General features: G+C 36.8%; 1 protein-coding gene across 23 annotated transcripts in view, besides 1 other annotated feature; it reads right to left on the bottom strand.

The window, feature by feature from the left end:
• Positions 1-19,580, bottom strand: part of RASSF8 (Ras association domain family member 8) — a 121,658-nt gene that overhangs the window by 23,396 nt on the left and 78,682 nt on the right. For 8 of the 23 annotated variants that reach the window (NM_001394094.1, NM_007211.5, XM_047428189.1 and 5 more), the window contains one exon: positions 1,048-1,258. In NM_001394094.1, coding sequence (NP_001381023.1) covers positions 1,048-1,150 — 103 coding nt within the window. In that variant the 5' untranslated portion in view covers positions 1,151-1,258. Of the gene's footprint in view, positions 1-1,047; positions 1,259-3,497; positions 3,931-14,443; positions 17,594-19,580 lie in introns of those variants that run through there. The other 15 variants (NM_001394096.1, NM_001394095.1, NM_001394097.1 and 12 more) reach the window with 9 other exon arrangements.
• Positions 8,452-9,051: an enhancer, noted in NCBI's record as "OCT4-NANOG hESC enhancer chr12:26200376-26200975 (GRCh37/hg19 assembly coordinates)". NCBI's record gives its function as "activates a minimal SCP1, AML or CMV promoter by ChIP-STARR-seq in naive H9 embryonic stem cells {active_cell/tissue: H9 hESC(naive)}" and the evidence as "EXISTENCE:reporter gene assay evidence [ECO:0000049][PMID:30033119]".

The raw sequence follows: 19,580 nt of genomic DNA, 5'->3' as shown, positions 1-19,580 counted from the left end.
GATAAGGAGCTCAAAGACAAAGAGGCCCTGAACACTTAGCATGGTGCTGGCCACACAGCTTCCTCTTAGTACATGTTTGTTAAATGAAAGACTTAAGATGCAAATATAAACTTGGACCCATATTGCTGGTTTTTCTGATGCAGGTGTTTATGCCCTCATCATTTAAGGCAACTAAATATACATAAACTATGATGAAGATAAGCTTAAAATAAATAAGAAGAAAGGGTAAAACATGGTGGGAGAATAACATGAAGCCAAGAGCTGTGCTTCATTTTCACTGTATAATAAGATTTTATTTTATTTTATTTATTGAGACCGAGTTTCGCTGTCACCCAAGCTGTAGTGCAGTGGCATGATCTTGGCTCACTGCAACCTCTGTCTCCTGGGTTGAAGCCATTCTCCTTCCTCAGCCTCCATAGTAGCTGGGATTACAGGTGCGCACCACCACGCCCGGCTAATTTTTGTAGTTTTATTAAAGACGGGTTTGACCATGTTTGCCAGGCTGGTCTCGAACTCCTGACCTCAAGTGATCTGCCTGCCTCAGCCTCCCAAAGTGCTGGGATTACAGGCGTGAGCCACCATGCCCAGCCAATCATAAGATTTTAAAAGTATACATTATCTTTCCAGTGAAGAACGATGTTATTTCATTTGTTGTATTTTCTGAAAGTATGGAGAAATAAACAATAGGTGGGATTTTTCCTAATGAGGGATTCTGGGAACTAAGAATCTAAATTCTTAATCTGGGTCTAAATTTTGGCTCATGGAAACATCTTTAGTTTCAGAAGTCACTGTTTAGGCTGAACAACAGGAGAGGAGAAGGCAGTGTAGATGTTAACTCAGGGTTAGTAAAATCTAGGGGTGTCAGAGAACAAGCATCATCACAGATGTACCTAAACACAGGCAAACTGTAATAAGTACAAGAGTGCCTGTGAGACTTATTATGGAACCAAATGAACAAAATCCCCTAGAAATCTATATTTAAAACAAACACATACAACGAAAGAAAGCACAATGTACTTTTCTCAGATACCCACAGAGTTCACTCACCTATTGCTTGAGCTAAGGCTATGACAACCTCCTGGCAAGTTGTGACTTCAGTGACTCCACAAACAATCCTCTGAACTCCATCCACCCATACTTTAAGTTCCATGGTGCACCGGCCAGTCACTCAAGGTCCCTGAGAGTGGTCATCAGGGTGTTAGGTCATGTCTCTAGCTGCAGGAACACGGAGTGGAGAAGACTAAGTCTGTGTAGTCAGCTAAAAAAGGGCAAAAAATCACTTGTAATAAAATGAATCAACATTTCTTCTAGTAAGTATGTAAGTATTACACAAAACAAATTTTAACATATCATAATCTTACTGAAGTACACAGGCTTATTTTACAGAAATGAATTAAGCAACACAAATGCAACTACAGTCACCTATCATGACAGTGTTTCATGTTACAACTATTTTTATCATAATTTTAATCATGAACTCATGCTCCATTACATTAAAAATTCCTATTTAGTTGCCAAGCCCTATTCAATATATGCGCTGTTTTTCTGTCCTGTTTTTTTTCTTTTTGGATTATTTCATTAGGATAATTTCTGAGGCAAAACTAAAGAAAAAAAGTTTGTCATTTTAGGAATTATCAATAAAATTGAACCACTTTGCAGTGTGCAGTGTTTTGCCAATACTATTAACAAATTTAAGAACAGTTGTCAAAGTATCTTACTCAGCTCACATTCCTGATTTAAAACAAACAAACAAACAAAAAAACTGCTACCTGTCTGCCTTCCTAATATTTTTTTCCCTTATTATTTCATTCTCTCTTCTCATGTATGATGTCTTGACAACTGTTTTAAATGTGTCCCTTGCCTCCCTCTCCCCACAGGACAAAGAGTGTCTTCCCGCTGAAATGCCAACACCAGGCACAGCATGAGGGCAGGTGGGTAAAAAATCTTAGTCAAAGGAAACGAATTCCTTTGACGACCAACAGTTTCCTCATGTGTGAACTGTTTATCCTTTTCTCATTTAACTGGGTTTGATAGTTTTCTTAAATTACAAGAGTTATTCAAAAAATATAAACATTAACCGTTTGTTCTACTTGCTGTGTTTACCCAGTGTTTGATTTTGTATTTGGCTGCATTATAAGCAAAGCAGAAATTTTTACTTTGTCATATAGTCAAACCAAATATTCTTTATTTCCTGTATCGATAAGAATGTTACTAGCCTGCTAAAAATGATCACAATTCTTTTTCCTGTGGGTTTAAAAAAACTCTCAACTCTTCCTATGTAAATTCTCTAATCAATCTGATTTTTTGTTTGTCCATTGTTTTGTGGTCTTCCCACGTCTTTGTTGTTAAAATTCATGAGATATAATAAACATTGATTTAATTAAGAGAACATTTGGATTTGTTTATAGGTTTACAGTGGCACTGGTATTTCAGAATTAATGGCTTATTTAAAAGCTTATTTTAAAAACACTAGAAATTTTTCTTGTAAAACAGTAGTTACTACAAACAGTGGCTTAGTCCCTTGCACATTCTTTTAAAAGACCTAAGACAGTTCTAGGCCATCTGGTCACCTGGATAGGTAAGTCAGAACACATGCAAGGGGAAGGAGAATAAACCTAATTATTTTCTCCAGAGAAGGTACACAAATCCTTTTTGTCATCCTAAAAACAAGAAAGGCCTGGCTGAACATTAATCTCCTAGCACTTTGCTTTAGCTCTCTGCATATGACACAGCATAGGTTTCATTATCCCCTGTATGAAGAAAGAAGGGGCCACCTTGGCAATGACAAGCTGATTCCATAACTGTGCTCCTCAGTTATGAGGGCCTGTGAGATGTTAAAGTTCCTGGGGATAAAGGCTTCCAAAGTTAAAGAAATGTTAAGAAAGCCAGTAAATAAAGTTAAACAAGTTCCTTTACAGCTAGACTTCTCTGAGACTTTAATAGGCTGGTGTGCACTCTAAATTTCAAAGGAGAGTTTTATATGCTGCCCAATCTAGAGAACATTTAAGAAAACAGAAAAGTTCTGACTTGTTTCCTCTTCTGCGAGGCACTCTACTTACTAAAAATAGAATATGTTTTATTCTTTCTTGGGATAAAATTAAGGTATCAAAAATGGCCTAAGATTAATATATTGCTTTATTAAATTTTTGTAAAAGCTGGATTAAAGTCTATTTAAAGTGCCTTCTTATTCATTAAAATATCTTAAACTTGGGAAATCAAGCAAGAAAGGGTACAGATCTCATTAAAGCCCCCCTGCCACCAAGAAACCCATCATTTCAAATGATTCTATAGGACTTTTTTTTTTTTCAATTGTGGAAGAAAACATAAGATCTATCCATTTAACACATTTTTAAGTACATGATACAGTATTATTAACTACAGGCATCATGTTGGACAGCAGATCTCTAGAACTTACTCATAATTGTGTAACTGAAACTTTATACCCCTTCTACAAGCAACTGCCCATTTCGCCCTGTCCGCAGCCCCCAACAACCTACATTCTATTCTGTTTCTATAAATCTGATGTTAGGTATCTCACAGACGTTTTATATTCCTTTTTAGACTTTAGCATACTGCCACATATTTTCCTATCTGAATTATCATTGTTTCACTTTGAACTTTTAGTCATATATTGAGTCATTAATTCAACATAGTATTGGAAATTCAGGCCAGGGCAATCAGGCAAGAGAAAGAAATAAAGTGTAGTCAAATGGGAGGAGAGGAAGTCAAGTTGTCTTTCTTTGCAGATGACATGATCCAATATCTGGAAAACCCCATCGTCTCAGCCCAAAATACTCCACTCTAGGAGCTGTAACCCTGATCTTTATATCAACTCCAACAGTTCTATGCCCAGCCCCAGAACCAGACTAGAGAGTAAAATGGAAGACCTACACTGTAGGTGCGTGTGGTGGATTGGTCATCGTTCAGACTAAAGACCTAGGAAGCAAAAGGACACTCCAATTGGAATTTGGAATATATTTTTCCATGGAAACAGTGATGCAGATAGAAGGCTCTACTGCAAAGGTTTTAATATAGTTCAGTTATTGTCTTCATTATGAGGTTTCCAGATGCAAATCACTATTATTTTAATAGTTTTTACAATGAAGCACTAGGCTTATTCACTAACATGCTACCAGGGAACAAGTATTCTTTAGCTAAGAACCATTTATTGTCATAATATCCTCCTGGAATTGAGCATTTGCATTTGTGGAAACATATTACCTCAAGATCAATGCTTTCTTAAAGGAATTACAGCCAATCTTCATTATTTGCAGATTCCATATTTGTGAAACCTACCTAGTTGCTAAAAATTTGTTTGTAATCCCAAAAATCACTATTTGTGGTGCTTTCAGGGTTATTTGTGGATACGCACAGGGTGTGAAAGTTTTTAGCTGACACACACGCTCCCAGCTGAGACTGAACAAGGTGACATTGCCTTTGTGTTTCAGCTCTCATACTGTCAACATGTGTCCTTTCTCAGTCTACTTGGTGCCATGTTTTTTGTGAGTTTTGTTGGTGGGATTTCACCATTTAAAATGGCCCCCAAGCATAGTGCTGAAGTGGTGTCCAGGGTTTCTGAGGCAAGAAGGCTGTGAGGTGACCCATGGGGAAAACATATATATTATGTAAACTTTGTTTAGGCATGAGTTATAGTGCTGTTGGGTGTGGGTTCAACGTTAATGAATCAGTAAGCACTCAGTTGAGTTTCTTATTCAAAGCCCACCTCCAGATAGTTTATTGACAATTATATTTTTCTCAACCATATGCAATGTTAAAGCTCTGTCTGTGACTTTGAAATAGAGACTTCTCTCATACCCAGAGGTTTTAATCAGCAGTGCATAAAACAGTACCGGAAATCTTTTGGGAGTACAATATTTTGTAGAATAACTAAAGAATAGCACTTATTTCTGAATTAACGATTTGGGTAAATTTTGGTCTGCCAATATTTATACTTATTGCATATTAAATATAAATGTTTATATTTAATGTTTATTAAATAAGTTATCTTTAAACAGAAAAAAACACATAAAGCAAGGTTATGTATTGATGGGTTCTAAAAATGTTGTGACCAGAAACTCCCCAAAAACTAACAGGAATATTCATTATTAAATTGAATAAGCTCATGCTCTTTCTTCTACTATTCATTACCTTCAGGTGCCAGCATTCACACATGCCCAGTGATTTAACACTCTCAAATATTACACACTTAAGTATTTGGCAATTGTGGAAATAAATGGCACAAGTACTTATTACATGTTAGGCACCATGCACCATGTTTCATTTATTCCTCACAACATAATTCATCAAGTTAGATATGATTAGTCTCATTTCAATATGAGAAAAGTGAGTCTCGGAGAGTTTAAATAACTTTTCCAGTGTCAAAAAAATCTAGTAATTTGGGACACATATTTGAAATTTGGCTGAATACAGAAACTAAAGAATAAATAAGGCTAGGGTTCCCAAAAGGATTCACTGTACCCAATAAATGTTTTTTTAAAATGTCCTAAACCACCCTAAGAAATCTTATCTTTAATCACCTGGAAACTGGTTTTTGTCAATAAACAACGATCAGATAATATATACAAACTTGCCATTTCAAAACAAAGAAAAGAGGTGCTAAATCATGCTAAGAAACTGCAAAGAATTAATTAATTCAAAGAATCTATGAAAAACACATGCCAGCAAAATGAGCATCTGATGCTCAGGTTCCTTTTTCAGCATCAATGAATTATTCCTTCAGTTTTGGAAAATCACATCCAGCTTTATTTCTACAGAATCCTAAATAAAATATGTCTGAACATACACATTAATTTTAACTCCTGTCTTAAATACAAAGCAAAATTTCTTGGAGATTTTCTGCATTTTCTTTAAATTCACACTATTAAAATATACTTTCTGGAATAAGTCATTTTGTTTGAGACAATGTTGATTAGTGGAAACAAGATGCACCAAGGTTCAAATCCCGAGTCTACTACCTCTTGTGTGATTTGAGTCAAGACGCATATTTTTCCAAGCAGCATTTGTAAGAAATGGCATGAAATAATGTCTTTTCAAATTGTACCTTATCTAGTACAGGGCTCGGCACACAGTTTGAATTCAAGAGTTAGGTCTGGGACAGAAGTGAAAGTTCTAACTTAAAAAGTATAAACTTCTTTTTTATGGAAGGACAAATCAATAGCAATGCAAATTTTCAGAAACATTTATACTAATAAGAGCATCTGAAAATAAAGACATTTTAGGTTACTAATCCACATACCTAGAGCAGCAGCACATTCAAAAATTGTAAGCAGATATTAGAAATTGTAATTCATATTTTAAAATTTCAGTCACATCTAGTATAAAACATGCTATGAATCAAGTTAAAGTTATTGGTATGAGAATACTGATCCTTCTATTAAGAATTATGTCTTTGGCTGGGCGTGGTGGCTCACGCCTGTAATTCCAGCACTTTGGGAGGCCGAGGCGGGCAGATCACGAGGTCTGGAGATCAAGACCATCCTGACTAACACACGAAACCCTGTCTCTACTAAAAATACAAAAAATTAGCCGGGCGTGGTGGCGGGCACCTGTAGTCCCAGCTACTTGGGAGGCTGAGGCCAGGAGAATGGTGTGAACCTGGGAGGCGGAGCTTGCAGTGAGCAGATATCACACTATTGCACTCCAGCCTGGGTGACAGAGCGAGACTCCGTCTCAAAAAACAAAAAAAAGAATTCCGTCTTTTCCTTAGGATAAACTTTTCAAATGAATATAACTAGTAACTTTAGTTTTTCATTGAGCATCAAATTTACACTGAGTGCTACAAGGGCACTCAGTTGAGTTTCTTATTAAAAGCCCAGCTCCAGATAGCTTACTGACAATTATATTTTTTCGACCATATACAATGTTAAAGCTCTATGACTTTGAAGTAGAGACTTCTCTCATACCCAGCAGGGTTAATCAACGGTGCATAAAACAGCATTGGAAATCTTTTGGGAGTACAATATGCTGCAGAATAACTGAAGGATGGCACTTATTTCTAAATTAACAATTTGGGTTAATTTTTGCCAGTCAATTAAAGTTCACAGTGGAAATGTAAGATTTTTATGTAGTAATTGTAATTCAAGGAAAAACAAAATCTTTATGTAAAATTACCTGTTTTAGAAAACTAAGAGATATGTTTTCAATAATCAAAGGCTCATCTCAAAAATTAGCCCAGCTTCAGAATAATTCCTCTTACTAATCTAATTTACTAGCCAACACCACTAAAAAGTCATTTCTTCCCATCCCTTCCAAGTTATGTTTTGTAAAATCATTCTAATACCCCATGGAAACACAAGAACATGCTTATTAGACTGAATTCTTCTGTGACATCTATCTGACAGAAGTGCACTTACAAGGCAAGTATTTAGCTTGGGATTTTAAGCCCAGAACACCATACCTTAAAAAAGATGAAGGAGGGCTGGGCACAGTGGTTCACGCCTGTAATCCCAGCACTTTGGGAGGCCAAGGTAGGCGGATCACCTGAGGTCAGGAGTTCGAGACCGGCCTGGCCAATATGGTGAAACCCCGTCTCTACTAAAAATACAAAAAAAAATTAGCTGGGTATGGTGGTGGGCACCTGTAATCCCAGCTACTAGGGAGGCTGAGGCAGGAGAATCGCTTTAACATGAGAGGTGGAGGTTGCGGTGAGCCAAGAATGCACCATTGCACTCCAGCCTGGGCGACAAGAGTGAAACTCCGTCTGAAAAAAACAAAACAAAACAAAACAAACAAACAAAAAACAAAACAAAAACAAAAAGGTGAGAGAGGAAGAAGGCACAGAGAGGCTAGAGAGAGCCATGAGTGGCATGAAAAAATAGCCACTTGGGAGGTATGAAAAATGAAAATAGTGCAAAGGAATGAATGGAGAGCAACACACAGAAATGTACAATTCAGTCTTGGTCAGGGCTTCCAATGGCCCTGTAGCCCTCATTACAAGACAATTCCTGATGGGCCCAATCTCTCCAGTACTAGTAGCCCTGAGTCACCTCTAACTGGAATCCACCATTCCACACAAATGCCATTATTCTCAGCATATGCATCTTTCTTTTCTTTTTTTCCCCCTCCTCTCTACCACTCCAGCCTTGCTATATTCTTCTTCCCAAGTCATAAGCCTACCAGCAACACTCAAAAATACATTTGGTTCTACCTGGTGAAGGCTCTAAAGAAGCTGTCAGCTTCTCATACCTAGAGATGTCAGGGATGGGTGAATGATGGTACTTTCTCCAGGCATGTAAAAGGTTATGCATTTCAGAGTTCCCGGAAACCAAATGGATCAGCACAGTGCACAGTGAGTGCTTTTAATTTTATGCTGCCTCAGCATCCATTTTTAAATATAAGTCAACCCGGCTCAATTGCCCTTGACATAGTTTCCAGTACTACAGCCTACCCAAATGGTTCCAGCCAGTGGCCAGGAATAAAAACTTGGAGGTATCTCTCCTGCCTCATGGACTGGGCTTCCTGCTTTCTAGCCGCTTCCTTTAAATGGACCCTTACGGCATCTGCCTGTGACTCACATTTCATTACCCAAAATAGAATGCTACTTGCCAGCTCCCTTTCTCTCTACCTGCTTGCAACCTGACCTACCTACATGTGGCCTCCAGGCGTGCTGTGTACCCCCCAGGGTCAGTAAGTACTACAAACTCTTAAACTTTCACAGTGTGGCTGTCTTTGAAGCCATGCCTACAATCTGACCCCTGATGGCAGGGCAGCCCTGAAGGGACCCAGGCAGGTGGATCTCCTGCTGGTGCTCTTTTGTCCAGGCCTCTCTGCTGCTAGAGACGGTAGTTACCAGCTAAGTCGACATAGTTTCATTCAAAGCATTAATATGTCTCGCCTTTCATAGCTGGCAGCCCACTGGTCATCAACTAGTACAGTCATTTCACTGAACATAGAAGGCTGAGGCCTGGCCAGGTTATACACAGGATCAAGGTCCCATGCACAGGTGACGGCAGAGCCAGTCTTTGCACAAAACTACTTTAGATTATTCAGAAAACTGAAATTAAATGATTAAGTTTTACATATATTAAAGGGCCCAGTACAGAAGATGTTGAGGGAGTTGCCCCTCTCAAGAATTCTAGTTAAAAGAGATCATAAAATGAGTTATTATTGATATAAGAACATTAGCAAGAAAAAACTGTGTGTGGTCTGTTCTTGCTAATTTTCTTAAATGTTTATGGAAGGTGGAACAATATGGGACCTTACAATTTGACCTTCCTGGCACAAAATCTCATAAATAAGAAATATAAAAATAATATACCATTGGGCTCCATTTCTTGCTGCAGTATTATAAAAAGGAACATAAAAAGCCATCTGTTTTGCAATTATACTTTCTGTTAGGTTCCCAGACTACTTTGCAACCCTCCAGAGATGATCTGAGGCATGTGTGCAGTGCCAAGTTCTATGATGGTTTAACTCCCGTTAAAGCTCTCAGAACTGGGATTAGAGACCACACTCTCAAAGTCTTCATGTGAAAATCCCTGAACTCTGCCATCAATTAAATTATGCTTTCTACTACATGTGCTATTTCATGGCTTTCTTTCACAAATCATGAGAAAACTGACAGTGAGTATAATACACTCCTATGGAAAAACAAAATTAGTGAAAACTTGGTGATATTTTAAGGTAGATTTAAGTATAACTATATCTGTGATATTTCTCCTTAAGCAGGTACACATTGGTACCTTCATTGAAAACTAACTAGCCAAATGGTAACACCTTGCTTTTACTGAATCTAGCAACAAGAATTCTTACTATGTGAAAGACGCAATGTTGACTGTTTTATATAAATACTATTTTTTTTTAAAGAGATGGGGTCTCCTTATGTTGCCCAGCTGGTCTTGAACTTCTGGTCTCAAGTGATTCTCCTACCTCGATCTCCCAAAGTGCTGGGATTATAGCCCTGAGCCACTGTGCCCAGGCACCCTTTTATTTAATCCTTTAAAAAATTTTTTAAATCTTTTTGGCTGTCACCAAGGCAGAACAGATATTTAATCCTTTTAATACTCATCTGTTGCTCTATGTGACATGAATTATTAAACAAAAGAGGAAATGCAGGCATAGAGAATCAGTAACTTACTCAGGGTTACCCACCCAGTAAGTGGCAGATGCAAATCTAACACTCAGAACCACTAGTGACACAGTTACTTCTATTCATGAAATAAAGTTATTAGCAAAGTTTGCAAGGACATTTGTAATCACTAATTCTGGCTTAGGAGAGAAAGTAATCAAGTAAATGTGACCATGGGAATTATAATTTCCAACACTACTAAACCAAATGATATAAATTTAGTCAATTGTTGCCACAGAAATAAGGAGAAGAAAGAGGTGGTGTTCAAATCAGACTTAGGAATATACAACCCCTGAGGTTCCTGGTGAAAACTGCTCCTTCCAGTCTCTCTCATCTCAGTAAAGCAGGAATAGAGCTCCAGTCTGAATCCAGATGTTATCTGATCGCCCAAATCTATGTCCTTTCCATTAAAATCTGTCTGCCAAAAATAGAATCACTTTTCTTCTGCACACCTGAATAGGTATGGGCCACCTGATTAGGGACTTTTTGTCTACGTAAGAGATGGCAAATTAAGTTCGTTACCTTCCAGTCACCATTCAGGTATAATGAATCTAATTCCTTAATTTAATATTTAAAAATCAAACTACTTGAATTATTTACATATTTAATATTTAACATTTTGCAATGAAATCCACCATTCTACTTAATAGGGGATAAAAAGACATTTATTTTTTATCCATGAAACCAAGATGACTATGGACTTCTCATTTATGGTATTGTAAATATTGAGCCCATAAATCCTGACAAACAAGAACATTTCTATAGTTACAATAAAGTAAATGTGAAAACTTTTCAACAAAACATTGTCCATTGTGAGGACTACAGTGGTGGCTTCAAAGAGCCAAATGTCACATATCAAAGCATATTCCTTTGCAGGTATACATTTTTAAAGCTAAGTTGGTATGGAAATACTTCAAAGACAAAATAAAATAATTTTGTGAGGAAACGGTAATAAAACAAATATGTAAGATTAAGGAAAATTTGAGCCCCTGACTCATGAGTCAGAGTGGCTGCTAGACTACAAAACTTCTATTGGACTTCAATGTTAAAATTTAATGAGCACAGCAGGCAAAGCAGAAAACTTTAATGTTTCTTAAAATTTCTTTACTATACTTATTCAGTTGATAAAATATTAAATGCTTTAAGGATATGGAAGCCAAAAATAATATTTGGTAAAACCAATCATGCATGATCCCTATGAGTCTTTGTTAAATTAAGGCTATTTCAGTTCATAGAGAACAAAAAAAGTGTCCATTCAAACAATTTGAAAAGGCAGTTAGTTTTTTCCTAATCTCTAAGGGTTAAGAATAATTTTGATTGTTCTATTTGTTTTCTGAAGAAAATCTAAGCCAATTAAATAATTAAGTCCCTAGATGAAATGCAAAAATAGGTACATCCTTTGGTGATATTTCAAAGTAACAGGTATCTTTCAGTGTAGCCAAATTTGAAGAGAGGCTCATTATTCACTGTAATAAAACAAATAATGCTTTTGTTCCAAACAGCTATACTTTATTCTTCATACTCTCTATAGTTGTCATTCTCTTTAAAGAGATACTGTGTGCTGCTCTGCAATTAATTGGGAAAGTTTTGGGCTTTAAATAATCCAGGAGGCGCTATACTGTTTAATGAGTGTTTCATACTACTGGAGAAGACAGATACTAAGTTTAAGATGTGCATTGTGAAATTCCAGGGCAAAATACCTGATATTTATTGTAAATTTCAGTGATACTGATTAAAGTGGTACTCTATTTTACAGTATTCTACATATAGAATTGAGCTTAGGCCTGGTCTCTGTCCTTTATTGAAAGTACATCACCAGGTGTAGATGAATGTGACATAGTCATCAGCAGTCAGAATGAATGAGCTATACAACCTAACCTACAGTACATTGATAATATAAACAGCTCAACTGTAGGGTACAGCTACTGAATCAATTAACTGTATAAAATTCTAACATACTTTCCAAAATAAACTTCATGCTTAAGGAGGGAAAAACCCTAGTTTTTGCTATGCTTACATAAATATATTTGCATTTCATTAATATATCTGACTTCCACTATGTGTTTATATTTAAGTCCTACAATTTCACAGTAAAAACCAAAACTCAAGCACTGCTACAAGCAGTCATCCTGGCAGAGATTGCTTGTGGAATCTCTGCCAGGAAACTCATGGAATGAAATGGGTTAAGCAAACTGGCAAAAATCACTCCAGCAGTCACAAAAATCTCCAGCCTGCCTTAGTGAGCTGCAAAGTGGGAGGAAGTAGCAGCATGGCAATAGTGACTATTTAGATAGAAGAGGACTGGGAATAGTATTGGGACAGTGTTCATGCCTAGCAGTTGAGATAACTAGGTTTTTAAAGAAACATTTTAATTGCAGTATAACATACAGAAAAATTCAGAAATCTTAAGTTATGAATTTTCACAAAGTGAACACACTCGTCTAATCACCTCGAAGATCAAGAAAAGCCCCTCTCCTAGTCCCAACACCCTCCCTCAAAGGCAACTATTATTATGATCTTTATCATCACAGACTAGTTTTGCCTGTTTTTGGACTCTATAAACGGACTGCATCATATGTAATGTTGTCTGGTTTCTTTGGCGTTACATTATGTTTGCTGAGTTTCATCTGCGTTGCCGTGCATAGCAATCGTCCATTCTTTCTCTCTGCAGTAGAGATTTCCATTGAATAAACAAACCACAATTTATTCATCTATTCTACTGCTGATAGGCAATTGGATTTCCAGTTTTTTGTCTATTACAAATAACGCTGCTTTGAGCACTTGTACTTAGGAACAAAACTGCTGCATGCTGCAATTGCCTGCTAACTGATCTCCCTGCCTTCCCATCCTGTCTCCCTCCTTGCACATCCACTTTGCAGATTACTGCTAGAGGTAAATGTTTTTCAAATAAAACTGGATTCCATTCCCCTGGTCAGAATCCTCCAACGGCTCTCCACTGCCTTCAGGATAAAATCCAAACTCTGCGCAGGTTACTGATGTGCTACCCCTTAATCATCTTGCAACTCTCCCAGTTCCCCTCTACCCTTATGCCAAGACATTTCTGTTCTCTCAATCTATCACTCTCCCAAGCATCTCTGAGCTGCATATGCTGCTCTCCTTCCTTGGTAAATGCTTTGCATTCTTCTCTGCTAATTTTTGCACATCCTTCAACAGGCAGCTTTCCCCAGTTTTTTGGTGTGGAGGTGGCCACTCTCCCTGTGCTTTCAAAGCATTAGGTAGTTTTGTTTCATATCAAAGTGGTTATCTGGCTACTCCTCTGATTGTCCTATTACCTCTGGAACCCCTCAGCATAGTGGCTGGCACAGAATGGGTGAACCATGTGTGTTTGTCGAATAATATAGGCACTAATTGTACAGGACGGAAACAAACAGAGTTTATGCTTAACTAGGGGGGGAATGGGCACAATACTAATGAGAAAATGTCAGTGTGATCCCAGAGGCAATAAAATTGGCATTCGAGTATTTTAAGCAGTACTGCAGAAAAGCCCTGCAGTATTGATTTAAACTCCTGAAATAAATCTTACCACTAATTGATGCTACTGTGAATATGATATCACACTGTAAAACCCTTAAATATATCCCAACACACTATCTCAAGAAAAAATGCTATTGTTCTAACCTACAATTTGTGGTTTCATAAAACAATTAATTGAAATAATTTATAAATATTTTAAAAATGCTCAGGGACAGCAAATGCTCAAGTAAATCATACTTATAAAAGAGGCAGAAAATTGCAAAGAAAATATCTAATGTAGCTTAGAAATGAAAAAAAAATCAGCACAGTATAAAATTATCCTGACACATTTCTTAACACCTTATCACTTAAGCAAAGCCTTTTACTCCCTAAAAACAAGTTAATCAAAATAGACTGAATCTCATCAGGAAAGAAGACATGCTCCACCCTACAAACTCAGGTTTTAATAAAAAGAATGTAAGGAATCTAACAAAACCAAAACGAAGGAATTCATAAAGTAAACAATGCAGACTTTTCAAGCCATTTTCAGATTCTGGTTTATAAATTATCTATCTGAATAACTTGTCTTAGATTATGGAAAAAAACAAAACAAAACAAAATAAAACAAAACAACCCAGACCCATAGATAGGCCTGAATAGGCTGTGATTAACATTATCTCCCACTCCTAGGCTTGGGAATATACAGAGTGAACACAACACAGCAGGTGCTCTTTTTCTAACCCTTCCTTCAAATGTGTTATTTTCTCAGTTGACAAATCCTTAAATTGCCATGCTCTCCCCTTTAACTGGATAAATAATAAACCAAACCTTTCTGATTTATAACTATATTTCAGAAAAGAATTATATTAAACAAATATATACCTCGTTTCATTTTTAAATTCAGATTGAAAAGTCCAAAACATTTACAATCATCAGCAATTCATCCTCTCAGTATGATTCTGCCATAAATAAAACAATTGTTAGGTTTTGGGTATTTTGAATTTGTAAGGACAATACATATTTCTGTAGAGCTATCCAGCAAAATTTGAAATTTGCATCTAAAACTAAGACAGGTACAATATATCAAATTATCAGAGATGTGACATAAAGCTATAAAACTCATTTAAGTATACTTTATACTTTAAATGGCATCTCCTTAGCATTATTATACAAATTCGTGTCATATTGTCCTATGTTTCCATTTTAAGACTGATCTAGGCTTGGAATTTAGTATTTTACTATGTGTGTATATATATATGTTTATGTATGTAGATATATGTGTATGTGTGTGTATATATATATATTTATGTATGTAGATATATATGGGTGTGTACACCCCCCCACTCTGCTTCTTTAGGTATCACTTAAGCTAGAAATCAGAGTTTTCCCCACTTCTTTACAATTCCTAGTCTTGTGAACATAGTACATACTCATTAAATTAACTGTATTATCCAGTTGATAAACTGTTCAAGTTATACAATCACTCAGTGTCAAAGCCAAGGAGATTCATGCATTTCTGATTACCTAAAATTCTACAAATTGGAAATAATATTAATCCAACTGAGCTCCTGAAGAAGCAAAATAGTACAGACCTCTAAGAAAGAATGAAAATCTCTAAAAGCTGTATATATTAAAACATAAGAAATCCTCAAAAACTCAGCTTGTGTTTCAACATGATAGATAACAACATATTCAGCAGAAAGGACAGATTAAATAAACTATTAAGAATACTATGTATACTGGCCAGGCACGGTGGCTCACGCCTGTAATCCCCGCACTTTGGGAGGCTGAGGTGGGAGGATCATGAGGTCAGGAGATCGAGACCATCCTGGCTAACAAGGTGAAACCCCGTCTCTACTAAAAATACAAAAAAAAAAATTAACCAGGCGCGGTGGCGGGCACCCGTAGTCCCAATTACTCGGGAGGCTGAGGCAGGAGAATGGCGTGAACCTGGGAGGCAGCGCTTGCAGTGAGCTGAGATCACGCCACTGCTCTCCAGCCTGGGAGACAGAGCAAGACTCTGTCTCAAAAAAAAAAAAAACTATGTATAATTGTTAGTATAAGAATACTAACAAAAAATAAGAATAAACTACGCAAAAATCATAGTCTAACAAACTGAACTCAAATATTCATGTTAGTCCTATATGAATATATTCAATGCCCAGAAAACAGGAAAAAGCCACAGTTCAAGAAAGGGTCAGCAGTTACCTTGCTATTAAAATGGGAAGCAAGGATTCAAGGACTAAGTAAGTTACCACTGAGGAGGCCAGGTAAAGTGGGGTGTTAGGAAAGATGTCAGCAGTGTGGCATGGGACAGATGTTTTCAGAGTCAAGAGGTATCTATCTGTAACTATTCAACTGAAGCACTAGCAGGAGCTGCAGGTTCTACTGACCTGGTTCTCAAACTTTGTGGCACAAGCCCGTCAGAAAAAACATTTCCTACCCTTTCCTGCCTCTTCCAAACTTTAGAACAAAATACTTTTCCTCCTCCGGGTAAGATGCCACTTCACCACTCCCCTCGGCCACTATTACCCCCCAGTAACCTTCACCGCATGTCCTACCTCACTGATATTAGCCCACTTTGGAAGTCTTTCCACTGCTCAAAATTTACTTACTAGTGGCAGAATGATAAGGGAATGAAGTTGGGAAATTTTCTGGTTCCAACCCAAGGAGCCAATTATTTGCGTTTAGCTATCACACTAAAAATCTTATGTTAAGGAGATAAACAATTTCCTAATTTCTTTTTTAAAAGTCAATAATACTAATATATTTAAAGTTATGATTCAACCATTAAAAAGGCAAAAAAAGATTATTAAAAATAAAACAAAAGAACCACAGTTTAAGTGAATCTTAATGCTCAAATAAATGGCGCTGAGAGATTAATCAAAGTCAAGAAAATGAAGTCATAATTTAATTTTAAATACATGATATGATTCATAAGCTCTATGTTAATTACAGTATTACCAGGGTCAGACATTCAGTAACATACATGATTATGTAGAAAAGACAAAAAAGACAAACATTATTTCTCTGTCTAAAGTTATTTATTCATTAAATCCAGGCAAATCAATTAATTTCTTTACATTAAGCCATTAGTTATACCTTTTATTTAAACAGATCCACTCAAAAAGTAAATAACAAGTAAAAGCAAAAGTTTTCGCCTCAACTCCCAGGTCACAGGGTGATTCTTTCAGAAGAAACATGGCAAAAACATTGAATGAAAATTCATATTATTAGAAAAATCAATGGAAGACGACATGGGAATCACCAACTACTGGTACTGTTAATGTACCACGAAGTTTATGCAATAGGCAACAGGTTAATTACAACTCTGAGATAACACCTTCTGGGTTTTTTTTCTCTGAAAAATTCAAATAGTGTTGATAAGTCTTAGATAACTTACAAAGTTAGGCAAGGCATTTAACACTATCATTTTGCAACACCGACCCCCGCCCCCACCAAAACAGCAAACAGCTAAGATTAACTGATCTACTCAAGAGTTAAGTTACAAGAACTGAATAAAGAACTCAAGTCCCAAGCCCTCCACCCTCTAACACCCAGCCTCAATAGGAGTCTACCACTGAAATCAGAACTCTGCCCACCTGGACCTGCTATTATCCCCCCCAGTCTCACAAGGGAACTATGAGCAGCAGACAGAGAGATCACGTTCCACCTGCCTAAGAAAAAAACAGAATGAAGACTGTCGTATCTACTTAGCAAAAGCTAATTCTTCTGGCAATGCTGTGAAAGTTACCTTAAGAATTCACCTTCTGAACCTGACCTGAGCAGTATGCCAAATTTCATAGGAGTAGGATCCCCAATGAAACTCACTGCCGTGGATCATTCCTTTCCCAATCACAAGGAACATCCATGATGTTCCTTACAGTTCTGTGATTCTAATGCTTCACACTGTGAAACAATTAAAATAGCTTTTTAAAAAAAGAATTCAAAAGCAAACTTTAGAAATATAAACATTTTCTAGAAAAATAAGGGAAAAAGTCCTACACTTATGTAGAAAGAATAAATATCTGTGCATGTACCACAAAGCTCTAAGTAGAAAAGACTGACACAGACCTGAATGATAGGAAGGATTTGTCTTTGAAAACAAAGGAGTAATTTATCAGGGCAATAAAATTCATTGTGAGGACACTAAAGTCAAATTAAATAAAACCAACAAAAACAATGTCCTAGTTTTGTGCACTGGGAGCTAGGGCTTCACTGAGCACTACTTATATCTGTTGGAAACCAAGCAAATTAAATATGTTCCCTTTTAAAAGTGTGTGTGTGTGTGTGTGTGTGTGTGTGTGTGTGTGTGTGTGTGTGTTTTAATAAGAACATTTTAAAAAACAAAGCATTTATTTTCCCAAATTAATCTTGGGAATTAAAGAGTAGGTTATACAAGGTTTTTGGAGTTTTTCAAATGTGCCCTGGGTAACAGTGACGAATATGTATGCTGAAGATACATTTAAAAGCCAAATATCTAGTTTTGTAGTTTTGGCCTTTCCAGTATGCCTCAGAAGCTGAGGTTCTAAACACAAAGTATAAAAACACACAAGTACATTTGCAGGATCTACGGTGCTCATAAATGAAAATGCAAAATACTTTCAAGGAAACAGTCAAAACTACAGTTTTTAGCTTATTTTTGTGGTCTTCATTGTATTTCATCTAGTCAGTTCTATTTCCAAAGGGACTGAGGTTCTCTGAGACCGTGATCATGAAACAAAGCTTCACTCTAAGAATAAAAGTACAAAACAGTAGGGTCTGAGAGCAAACTATTTTATCACAGTGCCATTAGTTCATCCAAAGCATACACAACACGTGCAACCTGTGTGTTGACTCCAGAAGTTTATAATCCCAACTCAATATGACTGTGATGGGGGTGTGTACAGGGTAGAAAGACAACACACCAAAGAGGAGGGGATGCCGTGCAAATACACACAGCACAGGCACTCAGCCCAGTCCCAGAATTGAGCTGGCCTTGGTTAATACATACCTGCTTTTCTCCCTCTCTCCACCTTTAAATTGTTTCACACTCAGGCTAGCTGGCTAGGGCACAATTTTCCTTTAGTCTCTGACTGAGAAAACAAGCTTGCTGTGGTGACCCTTTAGGGGAAGCTCTTGGTTTCAGGACACAGCCACTCCTCTGAAGCTTCCCCCTGCATCTCATACAAGTATCTCTTTAGCACCCACCTCCTAACAAAAGTGTCATGAAGGCCCACCAGCCACATAAAGGCTATCCATGCAATGAAATATATTTGCTTGTGAAAATAACTACCTGAATTCACTGTGCTAAGCTTGTTGTTTCTATGCCAATCTCATTGCTAGTTATAAACATCAAATAATAAAAACAAAAATATTATTAACTAAACACAATTTGGTAATAAAATGTTTAAAAATGGAATGAAGATTTTGGTAAAAGTATAATAAAATGGGATCTTGGTAGTAAAATAATTATAAACTCTACCCCCTTTCTAAATATGCCCTAAAAAGTATACAAAATACAAAAACTATATGAAATACCTTGTAAGAAAATTTAAACTTATTTGTATAGCGTTTACTTTTTAAAGAGTGTACCAAAGGGAGTGAGGGTGGTGTTTGGCAGTGACAAAGATCCACGGAGGTGACAAAAGAGTATCTTATCACTGATATTGCTTAAAATATCTGGACCATGGTGATAAGGAAGGTCAGCTTTCAGGACTCTTAATTTTATTGTTTTCAAATTCTGTACAGACACTGTTTCCCACCCTGCCTCTTCCTACTGCCCCGCCCTGGGTACAGCACTGTCAAGCAATTATCCGAATTTAATCTTTACGGCTTTTATAGTCCCTGGGTAGACTTTTTCACACAATAAAAGAAGGGGATTTCAAACAAATTATTAGGCAACCAACCAATACTGTTAATAGTAAAATTAGATAAACTCTGAGATATAAAAGGAAAACACCAACTTCCTATCACTTAGATACTACTTTATCCTAGGGTAATACACATACAGTTTTTTGTTTTTTTTTTATTTTTTTGT

The sequence above is a fragment of the Homo sapiens genome, chromosome 12, assembly GCF_000001405.40.
Source record: "Homo sapiens chromosome 12, GRCh38.p14 Primary Assembly".
In the NCBI taxonomy this organism is placed as follows: Eukaryota; Metazoa; Chordata; class Mammalia; order Primates; family Hominidae; genus Homo; species Homo sapiens.
This window is presented reverse-complemented; position numbering and strand designations above follow the sequence as displayed.